We start from the raw sequence: 17,028 nt of genomic DNA, 5'->3' as shown, positions 1-17,028 counted from the left end.
TGGCACATGCCTGTAGTCCCAGCTACTCGGGAAGCTGAAGCAGGAGAATTGCTTGAACCCGGGAGGCAGAGGTTGCAATGAGCTGAGATTGCGCCACTGCACTCCAGCCTGGGTGACAGAGGGAAACTCCCTCTCAAAAAAGAAAAAAAAAAGAGGTTTAATTGGTTCATGGTTCCGCAGGCTGTACAGGAAGCCTGGGGGAGGCTTCAGGACATTTCAGTCATGGCAGAAGGAAAAAGGGGAGTGAGCACCTCACATGGCCAGAGCAAGAGAAAGGGAGAAAGGGGAGAGGTGCTACACACTTTTAAACAACCAGATCTCCCAAGCATTAACTCACTATCAGAGAGCAGCACTGAGGGGGAAATTCGCCCCTGTGATCCAGTCACCTCCCACTAGGCCCCACCTCCAACATTGGGGATTACAATTTGACAACAGATTTGGGTGGGGACACAGATCCAAACCATATCACCCTGTCTCAAAAAAATAAAAAAGATTAACAGGAGAAAAGCATACACATTTCTTTAATACAAGTTTTACTGGCATAGGTGAGGCAGAAATTTAAAAATAATAATAAGTACTGCATTCATTCACTCCAAGAAAAGTAAAAGCCAAAGCCCAGAATGTGGCAAGGCAATGGTTAAAAAGAAAAGAAGAGCAAGTTTTCCTCTGCCTAGCAAGCTCACTTCAAGGACAGTTATAAGATAATGCTGTTTGAGAAGTCAAAACCAAAGGAATAGGCTCCAGATGCCCCACCTCCGGAGTAAAGGTGAAAGAAAAAAAAAAAAGGACAAAATATCTGGCTAAAAGAAATTTAGCCAGTTCTTGTTTTTACTTTCAATGCAGCTACAAGGCCACCAGCTATGCAAGGCCACAAGTTATGCCATGTCATCAGTTATGCTATAGATTATGTGACCTGTCATTATATGATTAACTGCCTTTGCTTTGCTGCTTCTGTAAATTTGCTTATAAAAATCCTGCTTGGTCTTTGTTCAAGGCTCAGTTTTTTGGATGTGAACCCACTGAGCTGGTGTGCACCTTAAAATAAATATCCTCCTGTATTCACCTATACTGGTCTCTCCTTTTTTTTTTTTTTTAGACAGAGTCTCGCTGTCGCCCAGGCTGAAGTGCAGTGGCGCGATCTCGGCTCACTGCAGGCTCCGCCCCCCGGGGTTCACGCCATTCTCTTGCCTCAGCCTCCCGAGTAGCTGGGACTACAGGCACCCGCCACCTCGCCCGGCTAATTTTTTGTATTTTTAGTAGAGACGGGGTTTCACTGTGTTAGCCAGGATGGTCTCGATCTCCTGACCTCGTGATCCACCCGCCTCGGCCTCCCAAAGTCCTGGGATTACGGGCGTGAGCCACCGCGCCCGGCCTATACTGGTCTCTCTACTCCTCTGCGTCCTGCAACACAGGAGCCCTCATAAGGAAATGAAGACCCAAAGAAGTAGTTGGTGTCAGTTACTTCTACACCGAATTGGACAAAGAATAGTAAGTTGTAATGAAGCAACTAAGAGCGGGGCCCGGTAGCTCACGCCTGTAATCTCAGCACTTTGGGAGGCCAAGGAGGGAGGATCACTTGAGTCCAGGAGTTTGAGACCTTGTCTCTATTTAAATAAAAATAAAAATTAAAAAGATGCAACTAAATTATGTGGGGAGGCTTACCAGATAACAGTTATTTTCCTGGAGAACATTACGTTCAGTGAAATAAGCCAGGCACAGAAAGACACATACTTTGTGATCTCACTTATATATGGAATCTAAAAAAATGGAACCCACGAGTAGGGAGTAGAATGGCAGTTACGGCGGTTGGGGGGAACAGGGGGGTGTCAGGGAGATGTTGGTCAAAGGGTACAAAATTTCTGTTAGGAGGAATAGAGGAATAAGTTCACCAGATCTATTGCACAACATGGTGATTATAGTAAATAACAATGTACTATGTTCTTGAAAATTACGGAGAGGTTTTGTGTTCTCACCACAAAAGAAGTATGTGAGGTAATGCATATGTTAATTAGCTCGATTTAGTTATTCCACAATGTATACATATTTCAAAACAACATGTTGTACATGACAAATACGTGGCAATTTTTGTCAATTAAAAAGTAAAAAATGGGCCGAGTGGTGGCTCACGCCTGTAATCCCAGCCCTTTCGGAGGCTGAGGCAGGTGGGTCATTTGGGGCCAGGAGTTCGTGACCAGCATGGTCAACATGCTGAAACCCTGTCTCTACTAAAAATACAAAAATTAGCTGGGCGCGGTGGTGCACGTCTGTAATCCCAACTACTCCGGAGGCTGAGGCAGGAGAATCGCTTGCCCGGAAGGCAGAGGTTGCAGTGAGCTGAGATAGAGCCACTGCACTCCAGCCTGGGTGACAGAGTGAGACTGTCTCAAAAAAAAAAAAACAAAAAACCCCAAAAAGTAAAAAATGAAAAAAGTTATTTCAACAAGGTCTGTACAGAATTCTTTCCGTCTCAACATCTCCTCTTTGAGGATAAGGATGTTGCTTTTTCTTCTAGTATAAGGAAGGTGTCCTTCAACATGGAAATTTCATCTGCTTTTAAGACACAGAAAAGGGGTCTTCTTGCACCTGCTGAGTTTTAAATGCCTTTAATTCAAAACAGCCAATATGCCATGGTGGTGTGTATATACACACACACACACACACACACACATATACACACATATATACACATATATATACACACATATATATGCACACATATATATACACACATATATACACACATATATACACACATATATACACACATATATACACACATATATATACACATATATACACATATATACACACATATATATACACACACATATATACACATATATACACATATATACACATATATATACACACATATATACACACATATATATACACACATATACACACATATATACACATATATACACACATATACACATATACATATATACACACATATATACACACATATATACACATATATACACATATATACACACATATATACACACATATATATACACATATATATACATATATATACACACATATATATATTTTGAGACTGAGTTTCGCTTTGTTGCACAGGCTAGAGTGCAGTGGCGCGATCTTGGCTCACTGCAACCCCCACCTCCCGGGCTCAAGTGATTCTCCTGCCTCAGCCTCCCGAGTAGCTGGGACTACAGGCGCATGCCTCCACGCCCGGCTAATTTTTTGCATTTTTAGTAGAGACGGGGTTTCATCGTGTTAGCCAGCATGGTCTCGATCTCTTGACCTCGTGATCTGCCCGCCTCGGCCTCCCAAAGTGCTGAGATTACAGGCGTGAGCCACCGCGCCCGGCCCTTGGTGGTATATTTTTAACTCCTTCAGTTTTTAAACTATAAGCCCATTCTTGAGTGAAGGCGAAAGTAAACCCATCATGGCCCTGCAGTGTGATGTGTGTGCAGAGGTCGAGTGTGTGCGACTCCTGGATGCTGGGCGCGCAGGGCATGGGTGAGGCGGGAAGAGGCGGTGCCGGGGGCGCGGGCGTCCTGCAGTCGCCGGGCTCGGGACCGGGGCCGGGCGCTCTGCGAGGCTCTCATTAGCCGGCGGCGCGGGGAGGGGCCGGGTGACCTCACGCCGGCCCGGCCACCGCGGCCATTAGACCCGGTCCAATTGCTGGGGCTGCAGCGCTGCCTCCGAGACCGCGAGGTGGGTGGATCGGGTCTTCCTGGAAGGGTGCGATAAGGCCGGGCGAGGTGCCTGGGATGCTTCTCCCCTTCCGCGAGGAAGAGATCTAATTGGGTAGGGCGGGTGTAGACTAGCCTGCCGAGCCGCCCGCTGGCACCTGCAGCCTCCTGGGCGCCCGCCGGGCCCCGGCGAGAAAGTTGTTAAAGGGAGCGAGGTGGTTGTTCCTGGGGTCCGAGGCGCGCCTCTCACGCCCTGCCCAACAGAAGCCGCAGTCCCGTGGGGTCTGGAGACGCAGTTTCCTGTTAATGACAATAAATCCCTGCTCCCCCTGCCTCAGACATCTACGCAGCGAAATCGAGCCTGGCCTTGAGGGTCCACACCGCGAGGGAAGATGCGTGCGCCCATTGTAAGTGCGGGGCGAGGCGGGGCTGGGCGGGGCTGGGAGCCCCCTGTTAGTGGGGACTCGTTGTCTCGGAGCCTGAATTACTGCTTCCGAGAGAGGAGCCTCGAGGATGTGGGGCCCGCACCTCTGTCAGCTGCGAGGCATCGGTGTCAGCTGCGGGTCGGCGCGCACCTGTTGGGAGTTGTCTCGGCGCGTCCTTCCGGGGGCCGGTGTGGGGGCGCCCTGCCTGAAACGCGCCCAGCGGAAGGCGGGACCCTCAGGAGGGAGGTGGCCAGGGCAGGTCTGTCCGCAGAAATCTGGCGCTGCCCTCCGGAGCCACACCCGGACAGCGGGACAGGCCTTGGGGGCTATGTCAGCTGACTCATCCCATGACCAGCCCTGCCAGCGGAGTCCCAGCGTTAACTGTGCTTGGCGACTGCCCCCCTTCCGCCTGGCCGGACCGCAGCAGAGGGATTCAGAGGATGGGATTTGGAGGTGGACCCTCCTAGTGTTGAGCATCTGGTTGTGAGACTCTCATCAAGTTCAAATCCACTGTTTCCCAGAGTGAAGGTTTTGTTTTATTTATTTATTTTTATTTTTATTTTTATTTTTTGAGACGGAGTCTCGCTCTGTCACCCAGGCTGGAGTGCAGTGGCATGATCTCGGCTCACTGCGACCTCCGCCTCTCGGGTTCAAGCGATTCTCCTGCCTCAGCCTACCGAGTAGCTGGGAGTACAGGCGCCCGCCACTACGCCTGGCTAATTTTTTGTATTTTTAGTGGAGACGGGGTTTCACCGTGTTAGCCAGGATGGTCTCGACTTCCTGACCTCGTGCTCCGCCCGCCTCGGTCTCGCAAAGTGCTGGGATTACAGGCGTGAGCCACCGAGCCCTGCCGCAGAGTGAAGATTATATCACTTAATACTCAGAAAGTGCCCAGAACAATGCCTAGCACACATTTTGAGTGCTCAACCATAATTCACTGTTGTTATTATCTCAGTCCATATAAAGAGTTTTGCCTGGTGTCAGGGTGTATCTGGCATGTTTGTTTGACACCTGGAGTGGTCACTTTTTAATATCATTCTCTATCTGATAACATTATTTTTAGCAATAATCATGCAATGAATAGTAATAATGTCCAGAAAGAAACACAGTGAGCATTTTCTTTTATTGAACCTCGTATATGTAATCATGACAGTAAAAACCTTATATATGTAATCATGAGAGTAAAAAAATTAAAAATGAAAAAGTAAATGTGAGTGCAAAAGCAGGAAAAAAAATGGATTAGTAGGTTTTAATCACATTAATGTATTTTTGAAAAAAGGAAAAACTTAGATGTAGGATGGTATCAGAGATGAATAATAGTAACACTACAACTTCTGTTTTTGAAACTTCTGAAAAGTTGTCCATGACATTGTCAAAATCAATCTTTGCATATTCATGGTCAGTATTCAGGGGAGCTATATCTACTAGTCCATCTTTGCTCCCAGTTGATTGAAGAACACTTTTTATTAATTTTAATTTCAAAAGCTGCTTTCATATAAAACTAGAGAGACAAAGGAAAAGCCTTAACCATCAGGATTAGTTTGGCAGAGATTTATAAAAATCCCATTTCATAATAAATTCCAGACATTGCAATACTGCCTAAATCTTTTTTTCTTTAATCAGTTCTACAGCTTAAATATCTCCTTTTTAGAGACATTTTCACTAAGACAGGCTGGGTGCAGTGATTCATTACTGTAATTCCAGCACTTGGGGAGGCCAAGGTGGGAGGATCACTTGAGCCTAGGAGTTTGAAACTACCCTGGGTAATATAGCAAGACCCCATCTCTAAAAACAAAACAACAACAAAATCTTCACCAGACAGTTCATCATACTTTTTTTTTTTGAGATGGAGTTTCACTCTTGTTGTCCAGGCTGGAGTGCAATGGCGTGATCTCGGCTCGCTGCAACCTCCGCCTCCTGGGTTCAAGCGAGTCTCCTGCTTCAGCCTCCCAAGTAGCTGGGATTACAGGCATGCGCCACCGCGCCTGGCTAATTTTGTATTTTTAGTAGAGACAGGGTTTCTCCATGTTGGTCAGGTTGGTCTCGAACCCCTGACCTCAGGTGATGTGCCCGCCTCGGCCTCCCAAAGTGCTGGGATTACAGGCGTGAGCCACCGCGCCCGGCCCATCATACATTTCAATTATATTTGGCAAAATTCCCCAAGTTTTTCTTCTGCAAAAATCAGAGAAAATGGCTGAGTGATAGTGAACCTTGACATTTATTTAATCCATTGCTTTAGAAATGATGAAAATCACCCAGGCTTTCAAACATCATTCTTTTAGTTTCTTTTGGCACTGGGAGACAGGCTGTTTTATGTTTAAACACAGGAAAATGCAGGACCACAGAGATTGGCTACATAAACTGTATAAATGGAGTTCAAATTATTCTGAGCCTTTAGGAACTGATTGTTGAAACAGAACTTATGGCTGAGTCTGTGTGTTTCAGGAACTGATAACTGCGTGTTCTCTGATTTAACTTGTAGAAGACAAAAGTTTTAGAAGGATAAGAAATAAAAATGTGCTAATTGGTGGCTCACATGTATATGATTAAATCTCAATGGTAACTGCAGCAATTAGAATTTAGGTGAATAAGACATTTTTTGGGGGAGTGGTATTTTATCACTGACATTGTTTAAAATGGCCAGCACATGGTAGTAATAAAAGGCAGACCGACTTTTGATAGGTTTTATTATTGTTTTAAAATTCCCTTTGGGCCAGACGTGTGGTTCATGTCTGTAATTGCAGCACTTCGAGAGGCCAAGGTGGTAGATCACTTGAGCCCGGGAGGTCGAGGCTGCAGTGAGCCGAGATTGCGCCAGTGCACTCCAGCCTGGGTGACAGAGCGAGAGCCTGCAGAAAAAAACAAAACACAATAAAACAAAAAACTCCAAACAAAACTATCCTCTACAGCAATCTTGCTCCTATTTGTCTACAGTGGGGAAGGACATCCTGCCTCCCCACTGTGGGCTTTTGCGGCTTTTATGTTAGTTGTTGTAGCCGCCCCCAGGAGCCTCCTGGGGGATCGAAGAGGGTGTGTCCACAGTTTCCTGAGCCCTTTAGTTCAGCCTGTGATGCCTCCTGCTGTGATTATTTCTCTCCTCTCTGTGTTCCAAATTTGCTAGAATGAGTGGGCGGGGAGCCTTTCCCTTCCCTCCTCCACCTGCGCCATCCTTGAATCTGTGGCTTGTTGAGCAGCTGCTGCCAAGGAAATGAAACCCCAAAGTGAAACTGAGGCTCCATAATATGAGGAAATTGATAGGCCTTCCCTGTTCTCTGAGTCTAGACTCCGTCATTGACTGCTCTGTGATCTGAGTTTGCTTGATTTTCTGATGGATCTGTGTGGAACTAGTTAAGGTGCAAAGGGGAGGGGAGAGAAGAAGAGAAGAGGACCCTTCTTAAATAGCAGTTGGGGCTTCAGGCCTTCCAGGGTTTCATCCCTATTCAGCCACGGGCTGAGAGGGGCTGGAGGAGGAAGCCGTGCATCCCTCCACCATACACCTCTGCTGAGAACATTGTCAGTGCCAGGCTGGATAATGGTGAATTAGACGGAATTCTGGTCCTTGGAATGCTGGCAGGCTGGGCAAGGAAATTGATCGCTTCTTCCCACAGGCTAGGCTTAACAATGAATCATCCAATAATAGGGCTATGGCTTGGCTGTGGAGGCAGCAGCAACTCGCTTTGCTGAGGCATCAGGGGATGCATTGAGGAGTGGACATGTTGAGCCCATCTCGAGGGATGAGTAGGAATCTTCCAGGTGAACGGCAAAAGGGCATTTCAGGCCGAGAGTGCGGTGAGGCAGAGGCCAGTTTTGCCATGGGAGCACAGTTGTTGAACGTCAGTACCTTGGAGTGAATTACTTGGTGTGGTGGGAAGAACCTCACCTTTAAGCTCAGGCAGATCTGCTGCGGAATCCTGGTGCTACTTTTCGGGGAGCTCCGAGACCTTAGGGAAGTTAATTCCCATCTCTGAGCTCAGTTTCCCGATTGGTAACATGGGGCTCTTATAAGGATTCCAGGTAACAGGTGAAAACCCCCAGTAGTGCTTGGTGGTAGTGGTGGGGGTGAGTAGAGGGGCAGTTCTGACTCACCAGAAGGTGAGGTTTGCCCTGTAGGAGAATAGGCCTGGGCCTGGTGGTCAAAGTCTGGGAGGGTGGATGAGTTTTGCTTCCTTTTCCAGGATGTTTATGACCTTTGGGCTGCTGAGGCTGGGCCTGGTGCCTGCCAGAGCTGCCAGTATCTTTCCCCCACTTGCTAAGAGGCCTGGGCACAGGGTGGCAATAAGGGAAAGTGTAATGTGTCAGGCCAGCTGCTGTTCATCCCTCCTCCTCCTTCTCTCTCTGCCCGAGGCTGGGAATCTGGGCAGCCAGGCCTCCTTCTCCTCCCTGTCCTCACCCAGCCTGCGTGCGGCATGGGGTCTCAACCCTCTCGTAGGCATAAGTGCTTTTACAGCTTTCACTTCCATTATTTCAATGATTCTTTACACAAACCCTGCCAGATGGGTCTTAGCCCTGTTTACCAGAGAAGTTCAGAGAGGTGAAGTGATCCTTGGAGATCACACAGCAATAGAGTACAGAGGGGCTCAGTTGAGGCCCCCGGAGGTGGGCTGGGCCCTGTTTCTGGGAATGCAGCCTCAGAAAATAGAGACCTAGCTTCTTATGGGTTTTTCTTTTCCTAAAACCTTGGCACCAAAACTCCCAACTGGGAAGTCTTTTCTCAGTACCCACCTTGGACTTTAGCCTTTCCATTTATCACAGGCTTTCCCCCCAGGGCGTCAGAAGTGAAGGGGGTGAGTTTAGGGGTTTCCACACTCACCACAGAATGTGGTTTTGGGACATGGAGAATTCGTTTCATTCTGGGTTTCACAGCCTCCACAGTGTCTCCACCTGGTCCGAGAGCGGTCTGTGACCTTTCCAAATCAAAAATAATGACAACATCCTGGGGAACGGTGGCAGTAAAAGCTGCCAGTTAGTGAATGGCTCCTACGTTATCAAGCCCTATTTACTGAGTGTTTTTTAGATATTAACTCTGTTCATCCTCAGGATAATCCCACAAATCAGGTGCTGTACCTATCCCCATTTTGCAGCTGAGGAAACTGAGGTTAGGAGTAATTAGGTAACTTGGCCAAGACTATATAGTTAGTAAGTAGTAGAGCTCAGATTTGAACACAGGGCCCCCAAGTGTGTAATCGCTATGCTGTTTCTGAAAATTAAATTCATCTTGATTTAAAAACAGAGCACTCATGCTCTTTATCCCACTTTCTGTATTTTTTGTAGTCCTGAAATATGTCATAAACAACCCCAAACCCTCAAACTCTGATGAGACAAATGGCACGTAGGTGGATTGGAATGCTTCCTGCATAGCCTTGAGTGAAAGAAAAACATTCTTTTTGTTTTGTTTCAACCCTTGGGTTAAAAAGTATTCTGAAAGCATCCTCACTGTCCTCCCTGGTCCCGCACAGTGCCAGAGCCGGGGGTCTTGGACTGAGTCAGAGTTGCATGGGTGCATCTGGAGGGACCTTGATTGGAGAGAGGTAAAGTCCGCTGTAGGGTGGGGCTGTCTTCTTTTTCTTTGCAGGGGTGAGGAAGAGGCTGGTTGCCACTTTCAGGCTGCCCTGGGCAGGTGATGTTACCTCCCTTAGCTCCAGTTTCCCCACCTGTGAAATGAGGCATGACTGCCATCTTAACCCAACTCTTCAGTCTCCCCACCTCTCCCTTTTAGACAACCCTTCTCCTGTGGCCTTGCTCCAGGCTACACAGTAGAATCACCTGGGAACTTTGTTTTAATTAATTAATTAATTAATTTGAGATGGAGTCTTGCTCTGTCGCCCAGGCTGGAGTGCAGTGGCACGATCTCGGCTCACTGCGACCTCTGCCTCCCGGGTTCAAGCAATTCTCCTGCCTCAGCCTCCCGAGTAGCTGGGACTACAGGCACGTGCCACTACGCCTAATTTTTTATATTTTTAGTAGAGACGGGGTTTCACTGTGTTAGCCAGGATGGTCTCGATCTCCTGACCTCGTGATCTGCCTGCCTCGGCCTCCCAAAGTGCTGGGATTACAGGCGTGAGCCACTGTGCCCGGCCCACCTGGGAACTTTAAAAAAAATTCCAGGCTTGGGCTCCACCCCAAGAACCCTGCTTCTGACCAAACCCCAAAAGCACCTTGAGATTCCCACTCACCACAGTGGAAGCCCCTGCCCTGCCTGCCCTCTCCTTCCGCCTCCTCCTTATCTCCTGCTTGCCTCTCTCCGTACATCTCCATAAAGGCTACTTCCTCCCCACCAGCTTCTATGATTGCAGCACGGTGTGTAGGATTTGGATGTCCTTAGATCTGGGTTTAAATTATGTCTCTACCACATACAAGTTTCCCTCATCTTTCAAGACCGAAACAAAAATCTCAGGTGCTCAGGTGCTCTCTTTGACATCACCTCCAGTTCATCTTCTCCCATTCTCTCTCTTTTCTTTATTATTATTATTATTATTTTTTAAATTTTAGAGATGGGGTCTCACATGTTTCCCAGGCTGGCCTTGAACTCTTGGCTCAAGTGATCCTCCAGCCTCAGCCTCCTGAGTAGCTGGGACTACAGGCACATGCCACTGTGTCCCCATTCTCTCAAACACATTTCAGCCAGGCTTTTGCCTCCAACTCTCAGGAGGAGCTGATCTCATAAGGAACACGGATGATCCTCATTCTAAACCATGACCCCTAGCTCCATACTGATGTGTGCGCTGTGTCCCCGCCTCTCGTTGGGATACCCGCTGCCCAGCGTGAGTGCCTGGTTCTCCCCCAGCCTACTCTGTCTCTAAACAGCCCCATCCCGCCTCCCAGTTGCTCTGTCCAGACACCTTGGAGTCATCTGACTCCTCTTTCCTTCACACCCCACCTCATTCCATCAGCACAGTCGGTGGGCTGCAGCTTCAAAGGAGATCCAGCATCCATTACTACTCATGCCCAGATCCCCCCTCTCTGCAGTTGCCTCCTAGCAGGCTCCCGCCTCCTCCTTGCACCCTACATCTCATCTCTTCTCAACGGAGCAGCCAGAGGGACCCTTTTAAAACCCAAGTTGGATCCTGAGTCTCCTGGGTTCTAAACTTGGCAGTGGCCCCTGCCAGTGACAGAGGCAAAGGTGTAGCGCTGTCAGGTGCTGCGTTGCCTTCCGGACCGGCTGCTTTTCTTGGACCCTCCGTTCTACCCCCGCTTCCCACCCTCTGCCCTCCCCGCACGCCTACTCCGGCCTCGTTGGCCTCCTTGCTGTTGCTCAGACACGCGCCCCGCTGGGGCCTTTGCTCGGCTGCTCCCCCTGCCGGAGGTGTTAGCCATCTGCAAGGCTCATCTCCGGCCTCCAGGCGAGGCCGCCTCCAGCTCGCTGCTCTGGGAGTCTCCCTGACTCTCTAATTCCTATTGCACCCCGTGCCCCCACCCCACCAGCGCTCAGCTCCCGACCCTGCTCCGCTCTGCTTTTTGTTTCTTTCTGTTGGTTTCGGATCTCTTCTCATATTCTAGATTATTTACTTATTTACTAAGGTGTGTGTGTGTGTGTGTGTGTGTGTGTGTGTGTGTGTTTTATAGTAGAGACGGGGTTTTGCCATGTTGGCGAGGCTGGTCTTGAACTCCTGACAGGTGATCCACCCGCCTCGGCCTCCCAGCGTGCTGGGATTACAGGCGTGAGCCACCGCGCCGGCCTACTAAGGTATTTTTTTAAAAACCTTTTGTCTCCTGTTACTGAACAAAAAGCTCCACGCCCTGATCACAGAGCCCAGGTGCCTAGATTGGTGCCGGGCGCACAGCTCAGCCAGTGTATGGGTTTCTAGGCCCTCCAAAGCAGAGGTGGGCATCCTCCCAAGGTGAAGGGGTTCTCCAGGGGTGTCGTTGGCCGCTTACACCGCGCTCTTGATGGCGGAAGAGGGGAATTGCCAAAAAGCTATAGTGATCCTGCATGTCAGCAACCCCCTCTTCTGTAATTGGTGCAGGCTCAGGTCTGAGAACCACAGCTGCGGATCAAGACTGCAGGCTTGGAGTCAGGAACCCCGTGAACTTGAGCACAGAGCGCGGGTCGGCTGTGTTGTCATTGCCCTGACATCGCTTGGGACTCCCTCAGTGCGTTAGTTCTTAAATTAAACAAACAAACAAACAAAGGGCCAGGCGCGGTGGCTCATGTCTGTAATCTTAGCACCTTGGGAGTCTGAGGCGGGTGGATCACGAGGTCAGGAGATCGAGACCATCCTGGCTAACATGGTGAAACGCTGTCTCTACTAAAAATACAAAAAATTAGCCCGGCATGGTGGCGGGCGCCTGTAGTCCCAGCTACTCGGGAGGCTGAGGCAGGAGAATGGCGTGAACCCGGGAGGCGGAGCTTGCAGGGAGCCGAGATCGCGCCACTGCACTCCAGCCTGGGCGACAGTGCGAGACTCCGTCTCAAAAACAAAAACAAAAACAAAAACAAAGAACAAAAAAGACACTGGACAGAGGGAATGAATAGATGGACATGTTTGTGATGAAGCAAATACAGTCACATAATTGCACAATCTGTGTGGCAGGTATACAGACGTTCATTAAAAAACTTCCTTTAACTTTGTTTTGTTTTGTTTTTTGAGACAGTCTCGCTCTTGTCGCCCAGGCTGGAGTACAATGGCGTGATCTTGGCTCACTGCAACCTCTGCCTCCTGAGTTTAAGCGATTCTCTTGCCTCAGCCTCCCGAGTAGCTGAGATTACAGGCGTGCTCCACCATGCCCAGCTCATTTTTTTTGTATTTTTAATAGAGATGGAGTTTCACCATGTTGGCCAGGCTGGTCTCGCACTCTTGACCTCAGGTGATCCACCCACCTTGGCTTCCCAAAGTGCTAGGATTACAAGGCGTGAGCCACTGCGCCCGGCCTCAATTTTGAACGTTTGAAAATTTTTCGTGATAAAATGTTGAGAAGCATGCTGTAAACTTAAAAGATACTCATTGCAGAAGACCTGGAATATATAGAAAAATAGAAGGAAGCAAAAATTATCACAAAAACCACGCTTAGCCCCAGCACCCAGAAACCAGAGGGAATGTCCATTAGGATATTGTTATAGAGCTTTCTAGTCTTTTTGCTTGTGTCTGTTTTGCTATTTTTACATGATAGTGATTGTATGGATTACCACTGATTCTGTCAAGTCTTAGCTCAATTTCTGGTTCTAAAATGAACACATGCTTATTTAAACATTTTGGAAAACTAGAAAATACTTTTTTTTTTTTGAGGCAGTCTTGCTCTGTCGCCTAGATTGGAGTGCAATGGCATCATCTGGGCTCACTGCAAGCTCCACTTCTCAGGTTCAAGCGATTCTCCAGCCTCAGCCTCCTGAGTAGCTGGGACTACAGGCATGTACCACCATGCCTGGCTAATTTTTGTATTTTTTGTAGAGACAGGGTTTCACCATGTTGGCCAGGCTGGTCTCAAACTCCTGACTTCAAGTGATCCACCTTCCTTGGCCTCCCAAAGTGCTGGGATTACAGGTGTGAGCCCCCGCGCCCGGCCTAGAATATAATTAAAAAGAAAATTAATACCTTCAATTGAGAGGCAGTTTCATGAGGTTTGGCAACAGACAATATCTACATTTCCCAACTTAAAAACTGCAAGTCCATCAACATGAGTATTTTTTCCCTTTAAATACTTTTTAACATTTTTATTGTCAAAGTAATTCATATTAATAAAATTCAAACAATAAAATAATATAACATGAAATATAAAAGTTCTGAATCCCAACCACGCACTGTTGCGTATGTAATATATAACAGCTTGGTTATTTTCCTTAGCTCATATGTAGTGTATAATACGTTTTCTGTATAAATGTATAAAAAAGTCTATTATATGTATATATATTATTGAAAAAGGCTGGAGTGCAGTGGCGTGATCTCAGCTCACTGCAACCTCCACCTCCCAGGTTCAAGTGATTCTCTTGCCTCAGCTTCTCGAGTGGCTGGGACTCCAGGCATGTGCCACTATGCCCAGCTAATTTTTGTATTTTCAGTACAGACAGGGTTTTGCCATGTTGGCCAGGCTGGTCTCAAACTCCTAACCCCAAGTGATCCACCCACCTTGGCCTCCCAAAGTGCTGGGATTACAGGCATGAGCCACTGTGCCCGGCCTAAAAATGTATTTTAAGCAACAATGGAATAATAATGTCTTTCAACTTGCTTTTCTCAATTAATATTTCCATGCCTGCTCATGTAAATTCACCTTACTCTCTCTAATATCTCTGTCTGTGTGTGTGTGTGTGTGTGTGTGTGTGTGTGTGTGTGTGTGTGTGTGTGTAGGATAATTTACTTAACTAGCCCTTTTTGATGGTTGTTAGGGTTTTTTTTTCTTTTCTTTTTTTTCCTTCAACTTTTATTTTAAGTTCCAGGGTACATGTGCAGGATGTGCAGGTTTGTCACAAAGGTAAAAGTGTGCCATGGTGGTTTGCTGCACAGATCAACCCCATTACCTGGGTATTAAGCCCGGCATCCAAGCTGTTTTTTTCAATGTGAATTTCAGAGACCAGAAATTGCTCCTCAGTTTGCTTGCTAAGGAAAATGGTTGCTATGCAGCTCTTGGTAACACTGCTTTTGTGGAAAGATAAAGGCTTTTTGTTCTGAAATCCCGTGGGTGCAGAGTCTCAACTCTGCCATTGTTGTTGCGTGAGCTGTGTGGGAGAGCCTTGGTCACTGTGTGGGCTGGGGTTCTCCTGAACTTTGCCATGGAGGAGGCAGTTCTCTTCTCAGGCACTCTGCTGGCCCTGACCTTGATCCTGGAACAGAGAACTACCTGACAAGGCAGTGCAGTAGCATTCCTGGAATCAATGTAGGTTCTTTTACAATAGGGGTTGGCAAACTTTTCCTGTAAATGGACAGATAGTAAACATTTTATTATTTTATTTATTTTTTGAGATAGAGTCTTGCTCTGTTGCCCAGGCTGGAGTGCAATGGCGTGATCTCAGCTCACTGCAACCTCCGCCTCTGGGTTCAAGCGATTCTCCCTGCCTCAGCCTCCTGAGTAGCTGGGACTACGGGAGCCTGCCAACAGGCGTGGCTAATTTTTGTATTTTTAGTAGAGACAGTGTTTCACCAAGTTGGCCAGGCTGATCTCGAACTCCTGACCTCAAGTGATCTGCCTGCCTTGGCCTCCCAAAGTTCTGGGATTACAGGCATGAGCCGCTGCGCCTGGCCATCATAGTAAGCATTTTAGATCTTGCAGGCTATATGGTCTCTGTCACAACTATTCAACCCTGCTGTTGTAGAGAGGAGCCAGGGTAGACACAATGTAAATGTATGAGCCTGGCGATGTTCCACTAAAGCATTATGGACACTGAAATTTGAATTTCATATAATTTTCATGTGTCACAAAATACTATTCCTCCTTTGACTTTTCCCCCAAGCATTAAAAAAAAAAAAGTACAAACCATTCTTAGCTTGCAGGCAGACCTCTTGCAGGCAGAGGTCCAAATTTGGCCCATGAACTGCAGTTTTCATACTTCTAAATTTAGAACATGAGTTTTTGGATTCTTAGTTTTGATTCAGCTGAGATGGGTGACGTGTATAATGATAAGTACTTGTTTTTCTAGGTGGATCTTAGTGGTAGAGGTGAATTATTCATATCTTCATTTCATAGCGCCCTGTCCTTGCTGGTCCCTACAAGACTCCCCTGTCTTCTGTGTTTATTTGTTCCCTTTAATCATCATTTTTTTTTTTTTTGAGACAGTTTCACTGTCACCCAGGCTGGAGGGCAGTGGTGCGATCTTGGCTCACTGCAACCTCCGCCTCCTGGGTTCAAGTGATTCTCCTGCCTCAGCCTCCCAAGTAGCTGGTATTACAGATGTGCACCACCACGCCTGGCTAATTTTTGTATTTTTAGTAGAGACGGGGGGTTTCACCATATTGGCCAGGCTCGTCTCAAACTTCTGACTTCACGTGATCTGCCTGCCTCGGCCTCCCAAAGTGCTGAGATTACAGGTATGAGCCACTGTGCCTGGCCTCCTTTTGTTTTTTTTTTTTTTTTTGAGACAGAGTTTCGCTCTTGTCACCCAGGCTGGAATGCAATGGTGCAATCTCTGCTCACTGCAACCCCCACCACCTCCTGGGTTCAAGCAATTCTCCAGCCTCAGCCTCTCGAGTAGCTGGGATTACTGGCGTACGCCACCACGTCTGGCTAATTTTTTTTATTTTTGGTAGAGGCAGGGCTTCACCATGTTGGCCAGCCTGGTCTTGAACTCCTGACCTCGGGTGATCCGCCCACCTTGGCCTCCCAAAGTGTTGGGATTACAGGCGTGAGCCACTGCATCCGGCCATGTATCTTTAATTTATATAAGTGGCATTTTGTTACAGAGCTCATCCCCATTTTTCCACTTCGCAGTGTCTTTTAAAGATATCCAACTTGCCAAGTGACCATCAAACCCTTGCTCCTAACTAGTGTGTAGGGCTCCATAGGTGAGCCCACTGTCTTTTACTTCATTTTCAAAAAGAAGTTGTCTTGAGTGAGATTATGTGTTGAGCTTGAGCGTAATTATGTGTTGAGCTTGGGAATATGTATCTCTTGCCCTTACAAAGAATAGGCAGATTGGCTGAATGTCAAAAAAAAAAAAAAATTACAGCTTTTTTCCCTTCTAAACTGTAAATAAATATTTAAAATTTATTTATTATTATTATTTTTTGAGATGGAGTCTCACTCTGTCACCCAGGCTGGCGGATCACAAGGTCAGGAGATCGCGACCATCATGGCTAACATGGTGAAACCCCATCTCTACTAAAAATACAAAAAAATAGCCGGATGTGGTGGCAGGCGCCTGTAGTCCCAGCTACTTGGGAGGCTGAGGTGGGAGAATGACATGAACCCGGGAAGCGGAGCTTGCAGTGAGCCGAGATCGTGCCACTGTACTCCAGCCTGGGTGACAGAGAGAGACTCTGCCTCAAAAAAAAAAAAAAAAATTTTTTTTT

The 17,028-nt window shown here is 47.4% G+C and overlaps 1 protein-coding gene and 1 long non-coding RNA gene across 5 annotated transcripts in view, besides 6 other annotated features; one reads left to right on the top strand and one right to left on the bottom strand.

The window, feature by feature from the left end:
* Positions 1–1,767, bottom strand: part of LNCROPM (lncRNA regulator of PLAAT3 mediated phospholipid metabolism) — a 42,655-nt gene extending 40,888 nt beyond the window's left edge. For both annotated transcript variants that reach the window (NR_199012.1, NR_199013.1), the window contains exon 1: positions 1,663–1,767. This is a non-coding gene — a long non-coding RNA (lncRNA regulator of PLAAT3 mediated phospholipid metabolism). The remainder of the gene's footprint in view (positions 1–1,662) is intronic.
* The window catches only part of PLAAT3 (phospholipase A and acyltransferase 3), a 42,466-nt gene continuing 26,585 nt past the window's right edge, over positions 1,148–17,028 (top strand). Inside the window, exons 1-2 of one of the 3 annotated variants that reach the window (NM_001128203.2) lie at positions 3,642–3,690; positions 4,007–4,075. In NM_001128203.2, coding sequence (NP_001121675.1) covers positions 4,061–4,075 — 15 coding nt within the window. In that variant the 5' untranslated portion in view covers positions 3,642–3,690; positions 4,007–4,060. 3 annotated transcript variants of the gene reach the window in all.
* Positions 3,430–3,489: a silencer, noted in NCBI's record as "silent region_3437". NCBI's record gives its function as "represses an Ori minimal core promoter by ATAC-STARR-seq in GM12878 lymphoblastoid cells {active_cell/tissue: GM12878}" and the evidence as "EXISTENCE:reporter gene assay evidence [ECO:0000049][PMID:35858748]".
* Positions 3,510–3,589: a silencer, noted in NCBI's record as "silent region_3436". NCBI's record gives its function as "represses an Ori minimal core promoter by ATAC-STARR-seq in GM12878 lymphoblastoid cells {active_cell/tissue: GM12878}" and the evidence as "EXISTENCE:reporter gene assay evidence [ECO:0000049][PMID:35858748]".
* Positions 5,586–6,086: an enhancer, noted in NCBI's record as "H3K4me1 hESC enhancer chr11:63379461-63379961 (GRCh37/hg19 assembly coordinates)". NCBI's record gives its function as "activates a minimal SCP1, AML or CMV promoter by ChIP-STARR-seq in naive H9 embryonic stem cells {active_cell/tissue: H9 hESC(naive)}" and the evidence as "EXISTENCE:reporter gene assay evidence [ECO:0000049][PMID:30033119]".
* Positions 6,840–7,349: an enhancer, noted in NCBI's record as "NANOG-H3K4me1 hESC enhancer chr11:63378198-63378707 (GRCh37/hg19 assembly coordinates)". NCBI's record gives its function as "activates a minimal SCP1, AML or CMV promoter by ChIP-STARR-seq in primed H9 embryonic stem cells {active_cell/tissue: H9 hESC(primed)}" and the evidence as "EXISTENCE:reporter gene assay evidence [ECO:0000049][PMID:30033119]".
* Positions 12,163–12,928: an enhancer, noted in NCBI's record as "H3K4me1 hESC enhancer chr11:63372619-63373384 (GRCh37/hg19 assembly coordinates)". NCBI's record gives its function as "activates a minimal SCP1, AML or CMV promoter by ChIP-STARR-seq in naive and primed H9 embryonic stem cells {active_cell/tissue: H9 hESC(naive and primed)}" and the evidence as "EXISTENCE:reporter gene assay evidence [ECO:0000049][PMID:30033119]".
* Positions 16,171–16,672: an enhancer, noted in NCBI's record as "H3K27ac hESC enhancer chr11:63368875-63369376 (GRCh37/hg19 assembly coordinates)". NCBI's record gives its function as "activates a minimal SCP1, AML or CMV promoter by ChIP-STARR-seq in naive H9 embryonic stem cells {active_cell/tissue: H9 hESC(naive)}" and the evidence as "EXISTENCE:reporter gene assay evidence [ECO:0000049][PMID:30033119]".

The sequence above is a fragment of the Homo sapiens genome, chromosome 11 (assembly GCF_000001405.40).
Source record: "Homo sapiens chromosome 11, GRCh38.p14 Primary Assembly".
NCBI classification, from domain to species: domain Eukaryota; kingdom Metazoa; phylum Chordata; class Mammalia; order Primates; family Hominidae; genus Homo; species Homo sapiens.
This window is presented reverse-complemented; position numbering and strand designations above follow the sequence as displayed.